This window comes from Homo sapiens, chromosome 15 (genome assembly GCF_000001405.40).
Source record: "Homo sapiens chromosome 15, GRCh38.p14 Primary Assembly".
Lineage (NCBI taxonomy): Eukaryota > Metazoa > Chordata > Mammalia > Primates > Hominidae > Homo > Homo sapiens.
In genome coordinates, this window is record NC_000015.10 from 29,188,396 (window position 1) to 29,214,835 (window position 26,440).

Consider the following 26,440-nt stretch of genomic DNA (forward strand, 5'->3'; position numbering starts at 1 on the left):
ATGCTCTCCCTCCCCTTGCCCCCACCCCCTGACAGGTCCTGGTGTGTGATGTTCCCCTCTGTGTCCATGTGTTCTCACTGTTCAACTCCCACTTATGAGTAAGAACATATGGTGTTGGGTTTTCTGTTCCTGTGTTAGTTTTCTGAGAATGATGGTTTCCAGCTTCATCCATGTCCCTGCAAAGGACATGAACTCATTCTTTTTTTATGGCTGCATAGTAGAGAATCTTCTGTTTTAGTATTTGGTGTTTGACCCCAGCTCCTAAATCCTTTGGAATTTCCTGGGTGATAGGAGTGTCTTTTGTTCTAATGAAGCGACTCTTGATGGAATTCTAGATGGGTGCTGGGTCACCAGAATGACCAAGCCATGATGACGAGCTTGGGGCTTTCAGCCCCACTCCCCATTCTCCAGAGAAGGGACAGAGGCTGGAAACGGAGTTAAAAATCGATCCTGCCTACATGATGCAGCTTAAATAAAAGTCCCTGAACGGAGGGGTTCAGAGAGCTTCTGCGTCAGCGAACACATCCCCATGCCAGGAGGGTGGCGTACCCTCGCTCCTCGGGGACAGGGGCTCTTGTGCTCAGGACTCCCCCAACCTCGCCACATGCATCTCTCCACCTGGCTGTGCACCTGCATCCTGCCTCATATCCTTTATAATCAACAAGGGCATGGAAGTAAAGCCTTTCCGTGGGTTCTGTGAGCCACTCTAGCAATTCAATCAAACCCAAGTAGGGGGTTGTGGAAGCCCCAGTTTATACCCCATTGGCCAGAAGTACAGGTCACAACCTGGGGCTTGTGACTGGCATGAGAAGTGAGTGTGGTCTTGTGGGGCTGAGCCCTTAACATGTGGGATCCAACGCTGTCTCCAGGTAAAGAGTGTCAGAATTGAGTTGAACTGAGCACACCCAGCTGGTGTCTGCTGGAGAATGGTTTGGTGTATGGGGGAAATGAATACATCTGGTGTCAGAAGTCTCGTGCTGAGTGGTGTGTGAGAGTAGAGCACTGGAGGCTGGAAATTGTCTTGCTTTTTTTTTTTTTTTAACTTTCTTAGAGACAAAGATAAGAAAGCACATAAACTCAATAACTGATTGATTTCTTGGGAAACTTTTATCTCCTTGTCCATTGATAAGGTTTCTCTGGGTAATTTGGTTTATTGTGGCTCAGTAAATTAAACCAGGTACATGAAAGAAGAATAAGATCTTTAACTTTGATTTGAATTAGGTCACTATAATAAAAGCATAAGGACATTGTTGAATACAGCAAAGCACTAAAGGTGGCTAGATGCAGTGTCAACATGTTACGAAGCATATTTCACCAGTTAACAGTTCTGATTTTTGTAACTTAAAAAAAAATACTGTGAATACTGGTCCAAAAATATGTCACAGTCTTGCGCTGGGTTTGACTTGGCAAAAATGGCCATCAATCTACCTAAACATCTTTTTATTGTTTAAGCATTTATTATGTCATTTTTTGTTACAAAAGCCGAGACACTGTTTCATCAGGAACGGGGGTCTGTAGCCTTGCTTTTTCAGTAGCACTTGTCCATCACTGTCAAAGGCTTTGAGAAGGCAGATACTGAAATCCTAATTTTTAGACCCTATTTCCTGACTATTCATAATGAGATGCCCAGAGGCAGGCCCTGTCATCGGGAAGCAGGGACATGGGTCCTGGAGGGCTGAGACACTCAGATGGTCCCTGCCCTCCACCAGGACCTGCTCAGGAACCCAGGAGGAGCCACCTGCCCTCTCTCTGGGCTGCAGCCTTCACACCTGCACCATCGGTCAATGGACCCCAGGATGCACCCTCCCTCTGGCTCTACAATTCTGTGAATCCCTGTGTGGTGTGGTGGAGTTCCAGGTCCCCTCTGTGCCCTCTGCCCTGCTCCTCGCTCAGCCCCATAAGGAGGTAAGAAACCATCAATATCCTCAAGAGAGAGGCTTGTTGGCCCCCAGGGGTTCTCTGCTAAAAAAAAAAAACAGAGAATCTAGGAGCAGGGCCAGTCAGGAAGGGCAGAACAGAGATCCAGGGGTTTCGGGGCCTCCAAACCAACAAAAGACAATCCGAGGGATGAGTGAAGCAACATCTGCATGCTCTTCTGGATTCCAAATTTATTCCTCCTCGGCCATGAAGAAAGTTGGTTTCTGCTTTTTTCCCTGAGGATGGGCTGTGCCTGTACAGCCTTCCAGGTATGGGAGGGGAGGAAGGAGGGGAGGGTGCCTGACAGGAAGCAAGTAGTTGGACAAATCTCATTAAGTCAGTATCAGTTAATTCAAACACAACTAAAATCAAAGTGCTTTGATTCCCAAGCCAATTATATAGGATTTCCCCCACATAAATTGAGTTCATTACATAGTAAGTATAGATAATCCATAATTTAATATGGAAAATTCAGACATGGAGTGTTACTAATCAGATAAACAGAGCCTCAAATTAGACTATGGAAAAGATCAATGGACCTGCTCTAATTGCCAACCAAAAAGAAGCAAGCAAAAGGGAAATTAATCAAAGGAACATTCTCCTTTGCTCCTTCTTTAGCTAAGCGTCAAGAACATTTTGCAGGTGATAGGAAGGGGCTGTCCTGGATATCCGTGCAAAAGAGTAGAGCAGCCTCTTCCCAGAGTGGCTCCATTTCCAATGGCCCATATTTGTTCTGCTGCCCAAGAGTTTTAATAAAGCAACACCGGATCCCTGCAGAAGATCCTTTCACTGCAGTCAAAGTCATCAGGCACAGCTTGGCTTGGATGACTTTTCAAGAGTAAGGATTATATTAAAAATGACTGCACCACTAATTATGAGAAAACTAGATAATGTGGCACATGACTCTCAGAGGAAGAAGTATCTATAATTATGGGAAGGAAGTACAAAATCTTAATTATGCTAACTATTTAAATAGAGCATAAGGCTTGAGATAGAATTTAAGGGTTAGGAATCTGCCTTAGTGCTTTGAAGTATCCATATACTTCAGAAAAGGGATCTGAAAAAGATATAAAATACACTGAAAACTCCACTGTAATTAACTAGCTAGAGACATCCATGGGTGCAAACCGTAACCAAGGAGAGAAGGCTGCTGCAATCTCAGGGATAAAAACGAAGACACAAGGGCTCATGGAAAAAAAAGACAAAGACAGAAGGAGCCGAGGAGGGAGTTGCCAAGACTCAAGATCACATCGCAAGCAGAGGAAAAAGGTAATGCCTGCTGCAGAAAACAGCCAGGAAGAGAAGCTTTACAAAAACCGAACAGGGATAGGGGCAGTGGCTCATGCCCATAATCCCAGCACTTTGGGAGGTCAAGGCAGCAGGATCACTTGAGCCCAGGAGTTCGAGACCAGCCTGGGCCAGTGAGATCCTATCTCTACAAACAATAAAAAATTAGCTGGGCATGGTGGCATATGCCTACAGTCCCAGCTACTTGGGAGGCTAAGGTGGGAGGATCTCTTGGGCCCGGGAGTTTGAGGCTGCAGTGAGCCGTGATCACGCCACTGCACTCAACCTGGGCAACAGAGTGAGACCCTGTCTCAAAAGAGTTTGTTAAGTCATTCATGCTACATTTCCAATGTGGGTAGGGTGCAGGACGCTCTGTTCATTGTAGTGACCCAGGCTGATGGCACTGCCATCACCTCTACTCTGCCAATTACTGTGCCAGTGGGAAAGAGAGCTCTGGAAGACCTCAAACCACATTTAAACATTCTGACTTGAAAGTGGTACATATAAGCTTTGCTTACATGGCCCCCAGCAATCATGAGGGGACAGGGAAGTACAATCTTACCATGTAAAAGGAAGTTGGAGAGCTAGACATGTTTTAAAACAGCATTAATGACCATCACATACCTAAAGGGGAGAAAGCATTTGGCTGACTTTCAGATTTTTCCCTATACAGATATTCAATGCAAAAGAGAATAACATATCATCTATAAACCCCTAAGAGAAAGTTTCCTCAAGAATTCTGCACCCAGGGGGAAAAATGATGTAGAACATTATTCCAGAACATTATTCCAGATTCTGCTGAGGATGGAGAAAGCTGGAAAGAACATTGCCCCACCATTACAACAACAAGAAGAAGACATTGGGTTCTGCAAATTCCCAACTTAAGGTGAACCCATCAGACAGCTGAGGTCACAGGACAGCAAATTCTAAGGAAAAGACAGAGTCTCCAAGGAGAGACATGAGCACTTACCTGGGGCGTATGCAGTCAGATACCAGCTCTAGTGGAAAAGGTGGACAAGATGGAAGATCACTGAGGTAAGGTAGCAGAGAGGTGGAAGCAATGAGGAAGAGTCAAATGCAAATACTAGGAATTAAAAACAGGCACAGAGATGAAGAATGCCTTTGATAGACAGGGTCGGCAGTGGACTGGACACAGTTGAGGAAAAAATGACCAAGTGGGGTTTATCTTGGGAATGCAAGGCTGGCTTACCACTCAAAAGTCAGTGTTATTCACCATTTGAGTGGACTGAAGAAGATAATGTATAGCAACATCTAAGCAGACGTAGTAAAAGACTGATAAAATTCAACAGCCATTCGTGGTATTAAAAACAAAACAAAAACCACTCTCAGCAAACTAGGAATAGGAGGGTACTTCTACAACCTGATAATAAACATCTATGAAAAACTTAGCGCTAACATTATACTTAATCCCTAAAAGCAGGAACAAGAGAAGGACATCTGTTCTCACCATATCTATTCAACACTCTACGGGGCGGTCTAGTCAGTGTAATAAAACAGGGAAAAGAAGTAAGGGGCATCCAGATTGCAATGTGTGCTGATTTATTTTAGGTGTCAACTTGACTGGATGAAGGATACTCGAGAACTGGCAAAGCATTGTTTCTGGGTGTGTCTGTGAGGGTGTTTCCAGAGGAGATTGGTGTGTGAGTCTGTGAACTGAGTGGGGAAGATCCACCCTCAATGTTGGGGGGCAACATCTGATCGTCTGGGGACCTGGATAGAACAAAAAGGCAGAGGAAAAGCGAATTATTTTCTTTTGCTCTTCTGGAGCTGAGACACCCTTTCCTGCCCTTGGACATCAGAACTTCAGGCTCTCTGGCCTTTGGACCCTGGGACTCACACTGGTGCAACCACTCCCCGCAGGTTCTTGGCCTTGGACTGAGAGTTCCACCATTGGTTTCCCTGGTTCTGAGGCCTTTTGACTTCGACTGAGCCAAACTCCCAGCTTTCCAGGGTCTCCAGCTTGCAGATGGGACTGTCATAGGACTTCTTAGTCTCCATGGTAATGTGAGCAATTCTTTCAATAAATTCCCTCTCACCTATCTGTATCTGTCCTATTGGCTCTGTCTGGAGAATGGAAGACGTAAAATTGCCTCTCTTTGCATAGCACATGACTGTCTACATAAGAAAACCCAAAGAATCTGCAAAAGAGCTACCAGAACTGAGTTTAGTCAAGACCACAGGATACAAGATTGGTAACAAAAATCAAATTTCTATGTGCTAGCAGTGAATAAGAGACCATTAAAAAATACCATTAGGATAGCACCAATAAATGTGGAATACTTTAAGCATAACTATTACAAAATATGTTAAGATCTATATACTGAAATTTACACAAGACTGATGAAAAAAAGAAACACTGAAGAAATGAAGTATGACTTAAATAAATGAAGAACTAGATCATGAATATGTCAAGTCTCTTCAAAGTGACATGTGGACTCCATGCAATCTCAATTAAAATCCCAGCAGGATTCTAGTAGAAAATGCACAAGTGGATTCTAAAATTTATATGGAATTACAAAGGAAATGATAGCTAAGACAATTCTGAAAAGCAACAAAATTGGACGACAGCAATAAACAGATACTCGCTTCCAATAGTCCCTGGTCCTCTTGATCTCAGATGAAAGTCAGTCCCTGCCAAGGCTGTTGCTCCTTGCATAGGCCCTCAGGTGGGGGACAGGGGCAGGCTGCCTCTTCTCCTAGCACCTAAGCCACTGCTGCCACTTCCAGACCATTGGCCTCACACCTTAATCACAACTCCTGCCTCCTTTGAGCCTCCTGCCACCAGTTTTGATAGTTCCTATCTCTAAGTAGGCTTTGTACACAAATTCATGAGGGAGTTTAAAATAGTGTAGTCTTTCCTTTGCTTTCAACTCTTACCAGTGTCCTGGGCAATCTGAATACCCATGGGGATGTGCCATGCATTCAGCTAGGCTCCCAGCCTTCCCTGGAACTTCTTGACTTCAGTGGCCTTTACTCTATGCCGTTTTTGCCACCTCATACCAAGGGCTTTTCTCACCAATGTACCAGAACAGTGAATAAGAGTGAGACTGCAAGGTCACCAGCTCCCCCTAGACCTGAGACTGCATTCTTAGAGACAGTGTTGTTTTTTCACCAGCATTACCTTTCAAGCCACAGTCACTGCTGCAGGGGCTGGAGAGTCATGAAAACCGGGTCCTGCATCCCATGAGTGAAGGCGTTCAAGGGGGACGCCAGGACCTTAGAGGAGCCTGTTGAACACCCCAACCAGCCAACTGAGGAACGGGAGGTAACGTGAGGCCCAAATGCATCCCCATACTCAAGAAAACATTCCCAGGTTGAAGAAGTGACTTAGCAGTTGTCAGAATGAGATCGCAGAGTGAGCAACGGCTGCCCGTGTCCCCTCCCAGGAGGGCTGTGAAAGGCCACAGCAGACCTCAGGCACTGACCCAGGCAGGCTCCAGGATGCAGTGAGGTAGAATGTGGGCGTAGGTAATGTGGGCAGCATGAAATACCTGGTCCCATGATGGGATGGGCCCTGGAGTGCTGCAGTTCTTGATTCCTCCAACCCCGCTGCATCTGTCACTCTGGTGAGCTGCTGGGACCATCCAACTTGGACCATTCCTCCGTGCAAAACATGACAGGCGCTGTGAGCCAGGCGTAGTCCTACCATGGAGATGAGCCGCATCCTCTCTCTCTGTACATCTTTGCTTGTCTACCAGCCGGAGACCACCCATGGAGGACTAATCACAAGCACTCAAGGTCAACGCTTTCCTCCTCTCCCCAGATCCGAGGTGGCTCTCTGCAGTTTCCCATCCCCTGCATACTGCATTCCCTACACACATGCTAGAACCCCCTCCATACTGCAAACACAATTTTACCACCAACTAAGAGTTCCTTGGACTGTGCCACATCTTTTTATATTTATTTATCCATTTTTTTCTTTTGAGATGAAGCCTTGCTCTGTCACCAGGCTGGAGTGCAGTGGCACAATCTCGGCTCACTGCAACCTCTGTCTCCCAGGTTCCAATGATTCTCCTGCCTCAGCCTCCCAAGTAGCTGGGACTACAGGCGCCCACCACCACACCTGGCTAATTTTTGTATTTTTAGTAGAGAGGGGGTTTCACCATGTTGGCCAGACTGGTCTCGAACTCCTGACCTCAAGTGGTCCGGCTGCCTCAGCCTCCCAAAGTGCTGGGATTACAGGCGTGAGCCACTGCGCCCGGCTTGTGCCACATCTTTTTAAAAAGTTTTGGCACAGTTTTATTCAGGGGAAACAGAAGAATTGGGTTCACTCTTCTTATGTATTTTTAAGTAGCCAATTTTGCTTTTCAGAATAAAACACTCGGAAGAAAAAATAAAATAATATAAACAATTTTTCCAAATCACTTTTTTTTTAAACATCAAATGCTACACATAAGAATAGACTCCCAGGGGAGACTGTCTGATTTTTTTCCTCCAAATATCTTTTAAAAAGCAAAATAAATCCCCATTTGTTCCCTGATGGTATAACAGCCAAAAATGTCAGAAAAGCCGTAGAATGATCCCATCATCATTTGTAAAGACCTCTTTCAACCATTTGCATCCGAATTTGCAGATGTCAGAGGTAGGACAATGAAATGGCAAAAATGCAAAGTGAGATCCAGAAAGCAACACTTTCAAAATCAAAATATATAATCCTTTCAAATGTTCTCTGGAAAGATATTCCCTCTTGCACTGAACCTACCCCGGGAAGTTAAGAGCTGAAAGGAATCTATATGTTAATAAGGCTTCCTAAACTGTCTGTAAGGCATGGAATGAAATGCATGCACAAGCAGCGCCCAGCGGGGTCACCTTCAAGGTCAGCCTCACAGCGTTGCAGTTCTCCTGCAGCGGGTTCAGCTTCAGCGTCTCCCCGAGGTTGCTGCAGCCGGACGACTGGTGCTGCAGCTCACAGCAGACACACACCTCCACACTGTCAAACTTAATCTAGACAGAGGAACACAGACAGACCTCACCGTTAACAGGCATTCGACCCCCGAGGGTACGCGTGAGTGACACAGTTCAGAACACAGGAAAATGGCTCAGTTCAAAGGAGCCTGTTTCAGTGTGTTTAAGTAGTACAGCAAAAACAATTTCTATTGACCCAGGCCATCAGGAGGACTTCAAATTCCTATCTTAACAGCAATGTATAGAAAAAGCAAAAGTACATTTGAAGAAACTTAAGCTATACATTAGAGAAAATGGCAGGTGGATTACAAAATGAGATAAAGGTAAATAGATTGAAAGTCACTCATGCTGATGTATGCACGGAGATGTGCTATCCTAGCTCTGTGCCTTGGCTCATTCTCCTTCCACAGTCAGAAATTTCCTGCCTCACTTCATGGCCTATCAAACTCCTGCTCATCCATCAAGACCCAACTCCAGCGCCACCCTCGAGGCCTTGTCTGGTTTTCCTGCCTCACTGCTACTGAAGACTGACTTTATCCAGCTACAGGTGCATCTTATCACCACAGTATTGACAATGGCAACAAGTTGTAGGTGTTCAATAAATGCTGAATGAATAAAAACGGCTTGGAAAATGGAAAACCATGGAAGAAAAAAATGCATTTCAAGTATTTTAAAAAGCAGTGTTAGACGAAGAGAGAGTATGAGAGTCTCAGTGAGAGGGAAGAGAACAGAGTTACCAGTGCCTAGGAGAAAAGCAGCTTTAAAAAAGTAAAGTCCTAGCCAGGTGTGGTGGTACACCACCTGCATTTGCAGCTACTCGGCAGGCCAGGGCAGGAGGATTGCTTGAGCCTAGGAGTTTGAGACCAGCCTGGCTGGGTAACATACTGAGACTCTGTCTCAAAAATACGTAAATAAAAAATAATAAAGTCCTAGATGTAAAACTACTAAAAAAGAAAATCAGGCCAGGCGCGGTGGCTCACACCTGTAATCCCAGCACTTTGGGAGGCTGAGGCGGGCAGATCACAAGGTTAGGAGTTCAAGACCAGTCTGACCAACACAGTGAAACCCCGTCTCTACTAAAAATACAAAAATTAGCTCGGCGTGGTGCTATGCACCTGTAATCCCAGCTACTCAAGAGGCTGAGGCAGGAGAATCGCTTGAACCCAGGATGCGGAGGTTGCAGTGAGCTGAGATCATGCCATTGCACTCCAGCCTGGATGACAGAGCAAGACTCCATCTCAAAAAAAAAAAAAAATCAGTAAAATCTATGCAATTTTATTCAAAATAACACTGAACATGAAACAAGTTATTTTCCTTAGACTAAGAAGTGCCCTGCTTTCCAATAGATAATATGTTTACAGCAGCCAACTCGAAGTACAAATACTTTTCAGACAAATATTGGCCATTTATAACCATAACAAATAATTTTTCATTGCATGAATATTGCTGAGACTGAGGCCATACTTATAAAACCTCCAGGTATCAACATGTCCGCCTCTCCTAAATACTGGGGGAGGGGTAATGGAGCATCCTCAGAGCCAAGAAATGTGCTGATATTCACCAGAGGAACTCAGCTTAGCTTAAGACTTAGCCCCTGCCACCCCCTGCTCCATGTCAGGTGGGCTTTGCGAGTGGCTTTCAGCAGGAGAATATGGGTAGAGGTGTCAGCTTGCAGCTTCTGAACTTAAGACCTCCACAGGCTTCATGTTTCTGCACCCTCTCCCTGGAACTTCCAATATACAGCAGGAAAAGAACAGATTCCAGGGAGCTGCCAGCTCTCCAGTCCCAGCAGGAAACCCGTGGAGCACCCCTGCAGAACTGTTCTGCCCTATGGTACATGCACACACAACATTACTAGGTAAGATCAAACCATTTTTCAAATAATTCAAACAAATTATACTCCCACCAATAGGGTGTGAATTCAGGCTAATCCACATCCTCACCAATGCTTGCTAATGTTGGACTTAGACATTTTTGTCCATGCAGTAACTAATATAATAGTATCTAATTTGGGGGTGGGTGGGTTTGTTTTCATCTTTCCTCATTTTCTTAACCGTTCATATTGTGAAACCTAACACACATACACAAAAAGTGCACAAAGCAAACATATTCAGTTCAATGATTTATCATTAAGCAAGCACCCACCGGCCCATGGCCATGTTCCTAAAAGGCCTTCCATGCCTCATTCCCTGTCATTCCTCCCACTTGCTGCACCAAAAGCTCACCACATTCCTTACTTTTTAAATAATCACTTCTAGGCTTCCACCTTTATACATTTACCACTATAGTTTAGTTTCACCTGGTTTTCTAACTTGATACAAATAGAATCATACAATATTTTTAGTATTTGGCATCTTTCATTCAAAATTACAAGATTCATCTACCTTACTGCATATAAATATAGTTGATCATGTTCACTGTTGTATATTACATTGTGTGAATATGCTGCCATTTATATATCTATTCTCTTGTCACGGGACGTTTGGATTGTTGCTAATTTTTTTGCAATAAGATTAATGCTGTTTGATATTCTGTACTAGTCTGCTGGTACATACATGTGCATATTTCTTTTGGGTACAAAATACCTATTGATCAGAGCTGCTGGGTCCCTGGGGATTTTCAGCTTTAGCAGAGAATACAAAGCCACTTTCCAAAGTGGCTGTACCAATTTACACACTCACCAGCACTGTTCGAGGGTCCCCATTACTCCACATCCTGGCTTGTGCTTGTTTTAGTCTTTTTAATTTTAGATAAGAAAGTACTGGAAGAGGTACTTCTTCCTTGAAATGAGGGACTAAGCCAAGAAAAAAAGGGAAGATGGGATCTAACACAGAAAAGAGATAGAGGAAGTTCTAAGAGAATGGGAAAAGGATGTCCTAGCATGGTAAATATATAGACTGCCTATAGGCTGACTTGTTCAGACTGAAGCAGGAAACAGGCTCAATGGAAACGTCTCTAAGAAAATGAAGCTGACAGAACGCTTGATGGGTAGGACTGTATTCAGAGGAGATTTTCAGTTCTCCTGGGAAGTTTGAGAGTAAATTAGGAACAGAGACACTAAACAAATAATAAAACAATTTTAACTCAGCATAAAAGACAAATCATATATAGTACATGGTTTTGTTATATATGCGGCTTGTAAATATTTTCTCAGTCTATAGTTTATCTTTTTATCCTCTCAAAAGGATCATTCATTGAGTAAACGTTTTAAATTTTGATGAAGGCCAACTTACATATTTTTGCTCCTACACTTTTGGTGTTGATCTAAGAACTCTGCCTAGCCCTAGATCTTTCTCCTATGTTTTTTCTAAATGTTTTATAATTTTATTTTTACATTTGATTGCATGACCCATTTTCAGTCACTTTTAGTGAAAGATATGAGACTTGGGATGAGGTTGACTATTTTTGCCTATAGATGTCCAATTGTTCCAACATTTGTTGAAAAATCTATCTTTTCTTTGCTTAATTCCTTTTGACTTTTGTCAAAAATTAGTCGGGCATATTTGTGTGTCTCTATCTGGATTCTCTCTTTGTTCCATTGATCTATCTTTCCACCAACCACCAAGTCTTGATTACTGTGGCTATAAGTCTGGAAATCAAAAAATTAATTCCTCCCATTTAATTCTTATTTTTCAAAATTATTTGTCTCTCCATATACATTTTTTTTTTGAGACAGGTCTTGCTCTGTCACCCAGGCTGGAGTGCAGTGGCACCATCTCAGCTCACTGCAACCTCCGCCTCCCGGGTTCAAGCGATTCTCATGGCTCAGCCTCCCAGATAGTTGGAATTACAGGAGCACGCCACCATGCCTAGCTAATTTTTGTATTTTTAGTAGAGACAAGGTTTTGCCATGTTGGCCAGGCTGGTCTCGAATTCCTGGCCTCAAGTGATCCTCTCACCTCAGACTTCCAAAGTGCTGGGTGTACAGGCGTGAGCCACCACACCTCGTCTCCATATACATTTTAGAATAAGACTGTCATTGTCTCCAAAAAAAGTGTTGCTGGGATTTTGATAGGGATTGAATCAAACCCAGTTTCTTTTTTTTTTTTGAGATGGAATTTTTGCTCTTGTTGCCCAGGCTGGTGTGCAATTGCGTGATCTCACCTCACTGAAACTTCTGCCTTCTGGATTCAAGCAATTCTCCTGCCTCAGCCTCCTGAGTAGCTGGGATTACAGGTGCCCGCCACCAGGCCCAGCTAATTTTTTTTGTATTTTTAGTAGAGATGGGGTTTCGCCATATTGGCCAGGCTGGTCTTGGACTCCTGACCTCAGGTGATCTGCCTGCCTTGGCCTCCTGAAGTGCTGGGATTGATTACAGGTGTGAGCCACTGTGCCCAGCCCAAACCCACATATTAACTGGGGGGAAATGGACATATTTACTACATTGAATTTTCCAATTTATTTATTTCCTCATTGTTAACGCAGTTTTCAGTGTATGTTTTGTTAGATTTACACTTATGTATCTTTTTAAGCGATTTTTAATTTCAGTGTCCATATGCTATTAATATGCAGTATTACTGTTACTATACAGTTCACTATTAATACACAAGAAATACAATTGAATTTTGTATGTTTATCTTGTATCCTACAACTTTGCTGAACTCACTTATTAATTCTAAGAGGCTTGTTTGTTCTGTTTGTTTTTTAAAGATTCTTTGGGATTTTCTACATAGATACTCATGTCATCCACAAACAGAGTTAGTTATATTTGTTCTTTTCTAATCTTTATGCCTTTTATTTTATTTTCTTGCCATACTACATTGGCTTGAAATTACAGCATTATGTTCTATATTGAAAAAAATGGTACGAATGAGCATGCTTGCCTTGTTCCTGATCTTAGGGGAAAAGCATTCAGTCTCCATTAAGTGTGTTAGCTGTAGGTCTTTTGTAGATGCTCTTTTTCAAGTTGAGGACGTTCTCTATGCCTATTTTTCTAAGTTTCCTTTTTAGTTATGAAAAGGTGCTTGAGTTTGTCAAATGCTTTTTCTCCAACAATTGATACAGCCATGCAGTTTCTCTTCTTTAGCCTGTTGATATGATAGAATAAATTGACTGATTTTTGAATATCAAACCAGTTTTGAATCCCTGGAATAATCCCTCTTGGCAATGATGTATATAACTCCTTTCAGATATGTTGAATTTTATTCGTTATTATTTTGTTAAGGATTTTTGTATCTATATTACATTAATAAGGGATATTGGCCTGTAATTTTATTTTTCTATACTGTCTTTGTCTGGATTTTGGTAGCATGGCAATATTACTTTCACAAAAATCAATTTGGAAATGTTCCTTCTATTTTTTCAGAGAAATTGTGTAGAAATGGTATTAATTCTATAAATGCTTAATAGAATTCTCCAGTGAAACCATCTGGACCTGGAGATTTTGTTTTTGGAAGTTTTAGAATTATAAATTCAATTTCCTTAATAATTATAGGGCTATTCAAATTCTCTACTTCATAGTGTACGAGTTGTGTTAGTTCGTGTTTTCCAAGAAATTGATCTATTTCATCTAAGTTGTGAAGTTCATTTGTGTAAAGCCATTCCTATTATTCCCTTATTATCCTTTTGATGTCTGCTGGGTCTGTAGTTATATCCCGGTTTCTTCCCAGACATTGGGAATTTGTGTCTTCTAACTTTTTTTCTTGCTAGAGTTTTGTCAATGTTGTTGATGTTGTCAAAGTATCAGCTCCTTTTTCATTGGTTTTTCTCCATTGGTTTTCTGTTGTCCATTTCATTGATTTCTGCTCTTTCATTTATGATTTCCTGACACCTATTTGCTTTGGGTTGATTATGCTGCTCTTTATCTAGTTTCTTTTTTTAATTTTATTTTTAGTTGAGAAATAATTCTATATTACATATTTATGGGGTACAGTGTGATGTCTTAGTAATGTTTACATTGCAGAATGATTGAATCAAGCTAATTCACAAATCACCTCCCATTTTAAAAATTTTTTTTATTTTACTTTAAGTTCTGGGATACAGGTGCAGAATGTACAGGTTTGTTACATAGGTATATATGTGCCATAGTGGTCTGCTGCACCCGTCAACCCATCATCTAGGTTTTAAGCCCTGCATGCATTAGGTATTTGTCCTAATGTTCTCCCTCCCCTTGCCCCCAACCCCTGACAGGCCCTGGTATGTGATATTCCCCTCCCTGTGTCCATGTGTTCTCACTGTTCTACTCCTACTTATGAGTGAGAACATGCAGTGTTTGGTTTTCTGTTCCTGTGTTAGTTTTCTGAGAAAGATGGCTTCCAGCTTCATCTACATCCCTGCAAAAGGCATGAACTTATTCTCTTTTATGGCTGCATAGTATTCCATGGTGTATATGTGCTACATTTTCTTTATCCAGTCTATCATTGATGGGCATTTGGGTTGGTTCCAAGTCTTTGCTATTGTAAATAGTGCTGCAATAAACATACATGTGCATGTGTCTTTGTGGCAGAATGATTTATAATCCTTTGGGTATACACCCAGTAATGGGATTGCTGGGTCAAATGGTATTTCTGGTTCTAGATCCTTGAGGAATTGCCACACTGTCTTCCACAATGGTTGAACTAATTTACACTCCCACAACAGTATAAAACCGTTCCTAGGCCGGGCACGGTGGCTCACGCCTATAATCCCGGTACTTTGGGAGGCCGAGGCAGGCGGATCACGAGGACAGGAGATCGAGACCATCCTGGCTAACATGGCGAAACCCCGTCTCTACTAAAAATACAAAAAATTAGCCAGGCGTTTTGGCAGGTGCCTGCAGTTCCAGCTACTGGGGAGGCTGAGGCAGGAGAATGGCGTGAACCCGGGAGGCAGAGCTTGCAGTGAGCTGAGATCGCGCCACTGCACTCCAGCCTGTGTGACAGAGCGAGACTCTGTCTTGAAAACAACAACAACAACAAAATTGTTCCTGTTTCTCCACAGCCTCACCAGCATCTGTTGTTTCCTGCCTTTTTAATAATTGCCATTCTAACTGGCATGAGATGGTATCTCATTGTGGTTTTTGATTTGCATTTCTCTAATGATCAGTGATGATGAGCTTTTTTTCATGTTTGTTGGCTGATATATTTATCTTTTTGTGGTGAAAACATTTAAAATCTACTCTTAAGCAATTTTGAAATATACGAGGCATTATTTATTTTAGTCATCATTTTGTGAAATAGATCACTAAAACTTACTCCAATCTAACTGAAATTTTGTACCCTTTGATCTATATCCTCTTTGGCTTCAACTGTTTCCCTTTGCTGTGATCAACTGGACAGGAGTCCAGCTCTCCTGAAACAGTTCACTCTCCCACGTCTCAAAAACATTCAAGGAATTATCTCATATGATCACATCTCTAGGCTAGGCATTAAGATTGAAGTAGCTATCATAAATGGCAAGACATTTTCCTCAGTCTGAAGGATCATCCGGGGAAAGGGAGGGGAGATCAGCTTGTCTGGAAAGCATGATTTATCAAATAAAATAACCCTTCAATGACCCCAGGGAATAGACATCCAAATAAATCTTTTCCATCAGTTATTTCACTGAGTTTGTGATTAATTCTTAGGAAAATTCTGAAAACCTCCTGGTTAGTTCCCTGACCTCGACATCTGGGTGTGCAGGCGGCTGACAGATTTATTTTAAGAGTACCCCTCAGTGTTCGGGTCATTGGGAACGACACCGCAGAGCTTTGCAAATGAGGCCACAGTAATTTTTCACAAATCTCTTTGGGGCACTTAACAGCTAGCCTGCCCCCCTTATTTATGGTCTATCAGCCTGTCTGGGAGTAGAAAGGGCTTATACAACAAAAAGAGGGGGATGCCCCCACGATTCTCTTACAGAAGTACAAATGGGATGGGTATGTGACCTTCAGATATTCTCAAAGGGAAGGCAGTGTGGGAAGGCTGAGCATGTAGGCAGAGCAGGGCAGAGGGCTGGGAAGAGGCTGGCATGTGTCAAGCCCGAGAACTTACAGTGGGCACACCAAGGCCAGTATCCTTGGATGTGAGGAGCCTGTTTCGAGGAGGAAGGAGGCGCAGCACGGGTGACAGAGTCAGACTACTCACAGTCCTAACTGCCATGGAGTGACCCAGGACAAGCCATGTGACCTCTCTGGGCTTCAGGTTCCCGGACCCCAGTGAGGATCAAATGAGATTAGACAGGTAAAAATGCAGAGTGCCAACGCTATTTGCCGGTGTTATTGATGTTGCTATTATTTACATTAAAGAAAAAATTTGTAGAAACTAGACCCTAAGTTTTCTTCCCAAAGGTTCAAACAAAGCTACAAAAACTAGACCCTAATTTTTAAATTGTGGTAAAATACACACAACATAAAATTTACCATCTTCACCATTTGTCGGCATACAGTTCAGTGGCATTAAACATATTCACCTCGTTGTGCTACCATCACCACCATCCACCTCCACAACTTTTTCATCTTTCCAAACTGAAACTCTGTCACCACTAAACAAATCCCCATTCCCTCTCCCACAGGCCCCCAACAACTCCCATTCTACTTTCTCTCTCTGTGGATTCACTACTCCAGGTACCTCCTGCAAGTGGAATCAGGCAGTATTTGTCCTTTTGTGGCTGGCCTATTTCACTCAGCATGTCTTCAAGGTTCATCCATGTGGTAGCACGTGTCGAGATTTCCTTCCTTTTTAAGGCTGAAGAATGTTCTATCAGATGCATCTACCATATTTTCTTGATAATTCATCTGTAGATGGACACCTGGGATGTTTTCAGCTCTTGGCTGCTGTGAATAATGCTGCTATGAACATGGGTGTGCACATATCTATTTGAGTCCCTGCTTTCAATTATTTGGGTAAATTCCCAGAAGGGGAATTGCTGGATCATGTGGCAATTCTCTGTTTAATGATTTAAGAAAATGTCATAATGTTTTCCACAGCAGCTGTGCCATTTTACGTTCCACCAAGAGTGTACAAGGCTTCCAACTTCTCTACATCCTCACCAACACTTATTTTCTGGGTTTTCAAAAAATCATAGTCATTGCAGTGGGTGTCAGGTGGTATCTCACTCTGGTTTCGAGTTGCATTTCCCTAACCATTAGTGATGTTGTGCACCTTTTCATGTGCTTACTGGCCATTTGTATATATTATTTGGAGAAATATCTATTCAAATCCTTTGCCTGTTTTCAAATTGGGTTGTTTGTGTTCTTGTTGAGCTGTAGGAGTTCTTTATACATTCCGGATAGTAACCTCTTATCAACTATACAATTGGTAAATATTTTCACCCACGGAGCCTCTTCTGTTGATTGTGTTCTGTGATGAACAGAAGTCAATTCAACTTTTTGAATACTTGTAGGTTTCCATCACTTTCACAAAAACTGTCAGTAACCTGTTGATTTCTCCCTAACCCAGTAATTTTTGCTTCCTTTGTCTCAAGAATGAGCCACCTTAAGTCTTGCTGCAGAGGTAAGCATCTCACTTGCCTCACTCAGTCCTTGTCCTGCTTTCTGAGCAATGCCACTGTCCTGCAGCATCCCTGCTGGTGGTGGGAGAGGGTCCCCACAACACCAGCCCCAATGACACAGGACGACATAACTGCCTTTCTCTGGACTACTATTAACAAATACCACAGACGGGGTGGCTTATAAACAGTAGAAATTTATTTCTCAGAGTTCTGGAGGCTGGGAAGCCCAGGATTAAAACACCAGCAGATTTGGTGTATGGTGACATCCTGGTTCACAGATGGATCACTGTGTCCTCACCTGGCAGAAGAGACAAGGCAGTTTTCTGGGACTTCTATTATAAAGGCACTAACCCACTCATGCGGGCTCCACCCACATGACCTAATCACCTCCCAAGGACCCCACCTCCTAATACCATCACCATGGAGGTTAGAATTTCAACATAGAAATTCGGGGGTGGGGGACACAAACATTCAGACCACAGCAAAAACCCTTATGCTGGTGATGCTCAAGGCACTTAAAGGCACTGGTAAGACCCCAAAAACTCCAGTAATCACAGTGCAACATGGGTGGACCCTGATGACATTATGCTAAGTCAAAGAGGCCAGATACCACAGATCACACCCCGCATGATTCCATTCAACATCCAGAACAGAAAAACCCACAGGGACAGAAACCAGCTTAGCAGTTGTCTGGGACTCAGTCGGGGACAGGGGCCAATCCGGGGTGCGACATAAAGGGTATGGTATGTTTTTTTGAGGTGATGAAAATGCTCTAAAATTGACTGGGGTGGTGACGCACATACGGTAAATATACTAAGAAAACACTGAATTTTACACTTTAAGTGGGTGAATTGTATGATACGTGAATTATATCACAATAAAGGTGTTTCAGAAAAAAATTACCACCACACGTAATTACTAACTCATTTAGTTTGGTTTTAATCCCTTCCGTGTTCTGCCTAAACGTTTTATATTCACACACGTGTCACCAACATCGACAGTTTGGGACCAATCAAAACTACCTTCACCACTGTCTCCCCGGCATAAACTCAGGGCCAACATAGACATGCTCCGTAGGTTGGATGACACGGAGCCACTTTCCCGCGAGTGGCTCAAAGCTACTCGCCAAGCAGCTCCTGCAGCAGTGCCCTCAGCCAGCCCCTCCAGCTCTTCCTTACTCCAGAGCATCAAGGACTGGGCACCTTTTTGTTCCTGGAGAGATGCTGAATGCAGTCCCTGCCAGACCTGAGGACAAAGCCGGCCCATTATTGGGGTGTTTCCCCTGTGCTACACACTAGGCGTGGAAGCATTTGGACTGGCATTGTGTCCAGAATTGGTTCCCGCCCGTGGCTTCCTGGTCTCACCGACTTCAAGAATGAGGCCGCAGACGTTCCCAGCGAGTGTTACAGCTCTTAAAGATTGCACGAACCCAAAGAGTGAGTGATAACAAAGTTTATTACGAAGAGCAAGAGAACAGATCTTCCACCTCCTACGAGCGGTGTGCCGCTGCCGGTTGGGGGGCGGGGGGGGTGGCCAGCTTTTATTCCCTTATTTGTCCCCGCCCATGTTCTGTTTCTGTCCTATCAGAATGCCCTTTTCTCAATCCTCCCCCACGATTGGCTACTTTTAGAATCCTGCTGATTGGTGCATTTTACAGAGCGCTGATTAGTGCATTTTACAGAGCGCTGATTGGTGCATTTTACAAACCTAGCTATAGGGTGCTGATTGGTGCGTTTTACAATCCCCTGGTAAGTCAGAAAAGTTCTCCAAGTCCCCACTCCACCCAGGAAGTCCAGCTGGCTTCACCTCTCTCTTCCTTACTCCAGAGCACGAGGGACTGGGCACCTGTTTGTTCCTGGAGAGGTGCTAAATCCAGTCCCTGCCAGGCCTGGGGACAAAGCCAGCTCATCACTGGAGGGTTTCCCTGTTCTGCACAATGGGCGTGGAATCATGTGGATGGGCGTGTCACTGAGGGATCCCCCCAGCCTCCCCACTAGGTTGGGAATGCAGCCATCAGTGGGGGTCACCCCACCTTCCCTGCCAAGCTAGGGACACAAACCCCCACGCTGGCCCCTCCTAGCCTGTAGCCCCCCTGTCCCCTGGGGGGCTTACAAATGCCGGGACTTCTGAGAACTGAGACTGCCTTTTGTGTCCCCTACAGCAGGGATGGCAAACACAGACCACACATCCCACCATTTCCCTCTTTTGCTTTCACCCTCCCCTCCCCCCACCCTGAGTCCAGATAACAGCCTTAGAATCCTACTCAACACACTGTTCTGGGCACTTAATGCCAGGCAGAGGAAGCTGGCACACAACGTGAAACCTACTTGCCATCCCTGTCCTACCTATAAGTAGATAGGGCCAAAAATAGGAGAAAATAAAATGTTTATGACCAAATACATAAAGACATTGTAAAATGTTGATGCTTGCTAGGAGGGAATTAGCTGACTCCTTAAAAACATGTGTCATCTACTTTGAAATGATCGAGAAATGCTGGCAAATAGGGCAGCCTCAGAGTGCTCTCAAGCCTCTGCCCAGTGGCAGGGGAAGCAATTCTCTCTGTGCTTCTGCAGGAAGCGACAGCTGAGGTTTGAGGGAGGCGCCAGCACACCACAGATATCAGATTCCTCAGTAAACAGAACTCACATACACCCCTGGTGGGAGTGAAAATTAATACGAACAACTTCGGAAAACACACAGTTTGGCAGTATCTACCAAAGCTAAACATACCTATACCTATATACCTATAGGTATACCCTACATCCTATAACCTACAGACTTCCCCTCTGGTGTAACCAACAGATGGATGTTCATCCAAAGCAATACACGAGAATAGCCATGCCTGTGTATCCACAATAGCCTCACACTGGGAGGAGAGTGGGGAAAACAAAACTGCGAGGTACTCACACAATGGAAAATTGGAAACCAGAGCTACTTGCAACAAGATGAGTGAATCTAACCGACATGTTGAATGAAAAAAGCAAGAAATAAAAGGGTCAATTACATATGATTCTATTTATAAAGCTGAAAGCCAGGAAGAATTCTTTTGTGACATTAGAAGTTAGGATAGCAGGTGCCCATGAGGAGTGTGGTATGAGTGACTGGGAGAAGGAGGGGCGGGGCTCCCGGGGATGCTGGAGATGTTTTACTTCTGATCTAAGTGTTGGTTCCATGGGTTTGTTCACCTGTCAAGAGTTACTAGGTTCAGTACTTACAATGTGTGCTTTCTTCTCTGGCTATGTCTGAGCTAACACAGAGGATTAATTTTTAAAAAATACACAAATCTGTCTGGTCGTGGTGGCTCATGCCTGTAATCCCAGCACTTTGGGAGGCCAAGGTGGGCAGACTGCCTGAGGTCAGGAGTTGGAGACCAGCCTGGCTAACATCGTGAAACCCCGTCTCTACTAAAAATACAAAGATTAGCTGGGCGTGGTGGTGGGCACCTGTAATCCCAGCTACTTGGGAGGCTAAGGCAGGGATATCACTTCAACCCAGGAGTGAGAGGTTGCTGTGGGCCGGTATCACCCCACTGCACTCCAGCCTGGGCAACAGGGAGAGACTCCGTCTCAAAACAAAAACAAAAACAAATAAAAAATACACAGTAGTCCAGGGGAGAGTCTGTTGCTTATGACTGAGTGGACCTCAAGGCCTGCCTCAGTTTCCCACAGAGAGAGAAGGACCATGGTCATGAGGAGACCTTCCAGGGATGGTGGAAGCAAAAGAGAAAGTTGCATTTTGATTTTGGTTCCTCCGCCTGGAAAGTGCGGGTCTCACACAGGGAAAAGGTGGGCTTCTTCCAAGACTCAGCCTGAGCATCTCCCTCTGCTCTCGGGGACTGAGTTTCCCTCTTCCTGTGAGTCTCTCTGTGCCCTGGTACCCCTGCAGGGTCACTCTACCCAGCTGTCACCCCCTCAGAGCACAAACTGCTCCCTGGCATCGGGTGGCTGCTCACAACTGACTCTGAAATTAGTGGAAGGATGTAAAAGTAAAAAGTTGGATGCAAAAGTGTCACCTGGGTTAATTCAACTGGATTGTAAAGGTTTCAAGAAGGTTTTGTATAATGCTTTTTACTTTCTGCATTTTAAGATGCTTTGACATCTTGGGGTCTACTAATCCAGGAGAGACTGCCCTCCCAGGGCTAGCTAATTCCTTCAGATAATAAGAAACTCACCTGCAAGCCCACTTTTCCTATGCAGACCAACCAATCCACAGCCCACACCTCGAACTACACCCTTCATTTAACTCTCACAACTAAGCCACTATTTCCCCTGCCCTAAATCATCCCAGGGCCAGGTAAGGTACTAGACAACTGGGGGCTACTCCTACAGCCAACAGGTCAAACCAGCCAATTCTCACCTGGGTCAAACGTGCCTGCACATTCTTCCCCACAAAAACCACAATAAAGGATCTGGCCCATGCTGTCCCCTAGATCAGGGGTCCCCAAGCCCTGGGCCACAGACCAGTACTGGTCCTTGACCTGTTAGGAACTGGGTCTCACAGCAGGAGGCAAGCAGTGGGTGAGCATTATTGCCTGAGCTCCGCCTCCTGTCAGATCATCAGCAGCATTATATTCTCATAGGAGCGCGATTCCTATTGTGAACTGTGCATGCAAGGGATCTAGGTTGCACGCTCCTTATAAGAATCTAATGCCTGATGATCTGAGGTGGAACAGTTTCATCTGAAACCATCCCTGACCTGGACCCTCCCCCAGTTCATGGAAAAATTGTCTTCCACAAAACTGGTCCATGGTGCCAATATGGTTGGGGACTGCTGCCCTAGATCCCTCTGAGCTTCTCTGTGTGGTCTTGCCTGGGTAGCATGGCCCTTCCTCTTGGAAACTGCGAGTAATAAACTCTTCTTTCAAAGCAGTGGTCTCTGTGTCTGGCATCCCACCGTAATGGACTACAACAAATCCCAGGTACCTTTTAAGATAGGCTTGCAACTTAAAGATGATACAGCCTTCTCTAACTATCTCTTATCCCAATTCATCTCTTTCCTATGTATATTTTCAATAGACACCTGTGCTTCAAATGCATTAAGATACGTCCCAGAATGCAATCCATGGGTATGAACTGTGCAGGTACCACATGTTACTCCTAACACTTAGGATCAGATGATTAATAGAAGGGGATTGTCTGTAAAATATGCAGTTATTCAGGTTACTACATAATAATGGAAAGAGTAAAAAATCAAATTATTTCTTCAGTCTTTTACTACGAAGATTTCTGCATTTTGTTTTTGCTACTGCTATAAATGAGGGAGGCCTCATTTGTCCTATAGTAAAATGATGAAAATCTGCCCATCATCCCCTCTACGATGAAGCCAGTGGAGAGTCATGGTGTTCTGTGACCGTGGTGCTGTGTGGCAGAGTGCACTCAACCACCTCTCAGACACACTCGATGTGTGCCCTGCAGCCCTGAGGCTGCTCCACAAGCCCCTCCCAGCATGACCCAGCCCCTGTTCCAGTGACTTCAGATCTATGTCTCACTTCACTTCAGAATTCTTTAGGACAAATCGTTTTCAGAATATGGGAAATTACTTTCCCTTGTCTGATTGCCCTGGCTAGGACTTCAGTAGTGTGTTGAAGAGGAGTGGTCAGAGTGGGCATCCTTGTCTTGTTCCAGTTCTCAGAGGGGATGCTTTCAACTTTTCCCCATTCGGTATTATATTGGCTGCGGGTTTGTCATAGATGGCTTTTATTACAGTGAGATATGTCCTTTGTATCCCGATTTTGCCGAGAGTTTTAATCATAAAGGGATGCTGGATTTTGTTGAATGCTTTTTCTGCATCTGTTGAGATGATCATGTGATTTTTGTATTTAATTCTGTTTATGTGGTGTATCACATTTATTGACTTGCATATGTTAAACCATTTCTGCATCCCTGGTATGAAACCCACTTGGTCATGGTGGATTATCTTTTGATATGTTGTTGGATTTGGTTAGCTAATATTTTGTTAAGGATTTAGCATCTATGTTCATCAAGAATATAGGTCTGTAGTTTTCTTTTTTGGTTATGTCCTTTCCTGGTTTTGGTATTAGGGTGATGCTGGCTTCACAGAATGAATTAGGGAGGGTCTCTTCTTTCTCTATCTTGTGGAACAGTTTCAAAAGGATTGGTACCAATTCCTTTTTGAATATCTGGTAGAATTCTGCTGTGAATCCGTCTGGTCCTGGACTTTTTTTTGTTGGTAATTTTTAAATTGTCATTTCAATCTTACTGCTGGTTACTGTTCTGTTCAGGGTATCTAATTCTTCCTGCCTTACGCTAGGAGGGTTGTATTTTTCCAGGAATTTATCCGTCTCTTCTAGGTTTTCTAGTTTATGTGTGTAAAGTTATTCACAGTAGCCTTGAATGATCTTTTGTGTTTCAGTGGTGTCAGTTGTAATACCTCCCCCGTTTCATTTCTTATTGAGCTTATTTGGGTTTTCTCTCTTGTTTTCTTGGTTAATCTTGCTAATGGTCTATCAATTTTACTTATCTTTTCAAAGAACCGGCTTTTTGTTTCATTTATCTTTTGTATTTTTTTGTTTCAATTTCATTTAGTTCTGCTCTCATCTTGGTTATTTCCTTTCTTTTTCTGGGTTTGTTATTTCCTTTCTTTTGCTGGTTCTTGTTTCTCTAGTTCCTTGAGATGTGACCCTAGAGTGTCAGTTTGTGCTCTTTCAGTCTTTTTGATGCAGGCGTTTAGGGCTATGAACTTGCCTCTTAGCACCGCCTTTGCTGTATCCCAGAGGTTTTGACAGTTTGTGTCATTATTGTCTTTCAGTTCGAAGAATTTTTTAATTTCCATCTTGATTTCATTTTTGACCCAATGCTCATTCAGGAGCAAGTTATTCTGTGCAGAAGCTCTTTAGTTTAATTAGATCCCATTTGTCAGTTTTGGCTTCTGTTGCCATTACTTTTGGTGTTTTAGATGTGAAGTCCTGGCCCATGCCTATGTCCTGAATAGTATTGTCTAGGTTTTCTTCTAGGGTTTTTATGGTTTTAGGTCTAACATTTAAGTCTTTAATCCATCTTGAATTAGATTTTGTATAAGGTGTAAGGAAGGGATCCAGTTTCAGCTTTCTACATATGGCTAGCCAGTTTACCCTGCACCATTTATTAAATAGGGAATCCTTTCCCCATTTCTTGTTTTTGTCAGGTTTGTCAAAGATCAGATGGTTGTAGACGTGTGGTATTATTTCTGAGGGCTCTGTTCTGTTCCGTTGGTCTACATCTCTGTTTTGGTACCAGTACCATGCTGTTTTGGTTACTGTAGCCTTGTAGTATAGTTTGAAGTCAGGTAGCGTGATGCCTCCAGCTTTGTTCTTTTGGCTTAGGATTGACTTGGCAATGCGGGCTCTTTTTTGGTTCCATATGAACTTTAAAGTAGTTTTTTCCAATTCTGTGAAGAAAGTCATTGGTAGCTTGATGGGGATGGCATTGAATCTATAAATTACCTTGGGCAGTATGGCCATTTTCACGATATTGATTCTTCTTATCCATGAGCATGGAATGTTCTTCCATTTGTTTGTATCTCTTTTATTTCTTTGAGCAGTGGTTTGTAGTTGTCCTTGAAGAGGTCCTTCACATCCCTTGTAAGTTGGATTCCTAGGTATTTTATTCTCTTTGAAGCAATTGTGAATGGGAGTTCACTCATGATTTGGCTCTCTGCTTGTCTGTTATTGGTGTATAAGAATGCTTGTATTTTTGCACATTGATTTTGTATCCTGAGACTTTGCTGAATTTGCTTATCAGCTTAAGGAGATTTTGGGCTGAGATGATGGGGTTTTCTAGATATACTATCACAGCAAAAGAAACTACCATCAGAGTGAACAGGCAACCTACAGAATGGGAGAAAATTTTTGCAATCTACTCATCTGACAAAGGGCTAATATCCAGAATCTACAAAGAACTCCAACAAATTTACAAGAAAAAAACAACCCTATCTAAAAGTGGGTGAGGATATGAACAGACACTTCTCAAAAGAAGACATTTATGCAGCCAACAGACACATGAAAAAATGCTCAACATCACTGGCCATCAGAGAAATGCAAATCAAAACCACAATGAGATACCATCTCATGCCAGTTAGAATGGCGATCATTAAAAATTCAGGAAACAATAGGTGCTGGAGAGGATGTGGAGAAATAGGAACACTTTTACACTGTTGGTGGGACTGTAAACCAGTTCAACCATTGTGGAAGACAGTGTGGCAATTCCTCAAGGATCTAGAACTAGAAATACCATTTGACCCAGCCATCCCATTACTGGGTATATACCCAAAGGATTATAAATCATGCTGCTATAAAGACACATGCACACATATGTTTACTGCGGCACTATTCACAATAGCAAAGGCTTGGAACCAACCCCAATGTCCAACAATGACAGACTGGATTAAGAAAATGTGGCACATATACACCATGCAATACTATGCAGCCATAAAAAAGGATGAATTCATGTCCTTTGTAGGGACATGGATGAAGCTGGAAACCATCATCTCAGCAAACTATCGCAAGGACAAAAAAACAAACACCGCATGTTCTCACATATAGGTAGGAACTGAACAATGAGAACACTTGGACACAGGAAGGGGAATATCACACACCAGGGCCTGTTGTGGGGTGGGAGGAGGTGGGAGGGATAGCATTAGGAGATATACCTAATGTAAATGACGAGTTAATGGGTGCAGCACACCAACATGGCACATGTATACATATGTAACAAACCAGCACGTTGTGCACATGTACCCTAGAACTTAAAGTATAATAATAAAAAAAAAAAATGTAAAAAAAAAAGGAGCAAGTTATTTAATTTCCATGTATTTGCATGGTTTTGAAGGTTCCTTTTGGAGTTGATTTCCAGTTTTATTGTACTGTGGTCTAAGTGCTTGATACAATTTTAATTTTCTTAAATTT

General features: G+C 43.2%; 1 protein-coding gene across 7 annotated transcripts in view; it reads right to left on the reverse strand.

Annotated features, from left to right (window-relative positions):
• The window catches only part of ENTREP2 (endosomal transmembrane epsin interactor 2), a 557,698-nt gene that overhangs the window by 70,684 nt on the left and 460,574 nt on the right, over window positions 1–26,440 (reverse strand). For 4 of the 7 annotated variants that reach the window (NM_001387215.1, XM_047432323.1, NM_001387216.1 and 1 more), the window contains exon 4: window positions 8,035–8,169. The exons of 2 other annotated variants lie outside the window; for them this stretch is intronic. In NM_001387215.1, coding sequence (NP_001374144.1) covers window positions 8,035–8,169 — 135 coding nt within the window. Of the gene's footprint in view, window positions 1–6,716; window positions 6,945–8,034; window positions 8,170–26,440 lie in introns of all 7 variants that reach the window. One more of the 7 variants, XM_011521407.3, reaches the window with a different exon arrangement.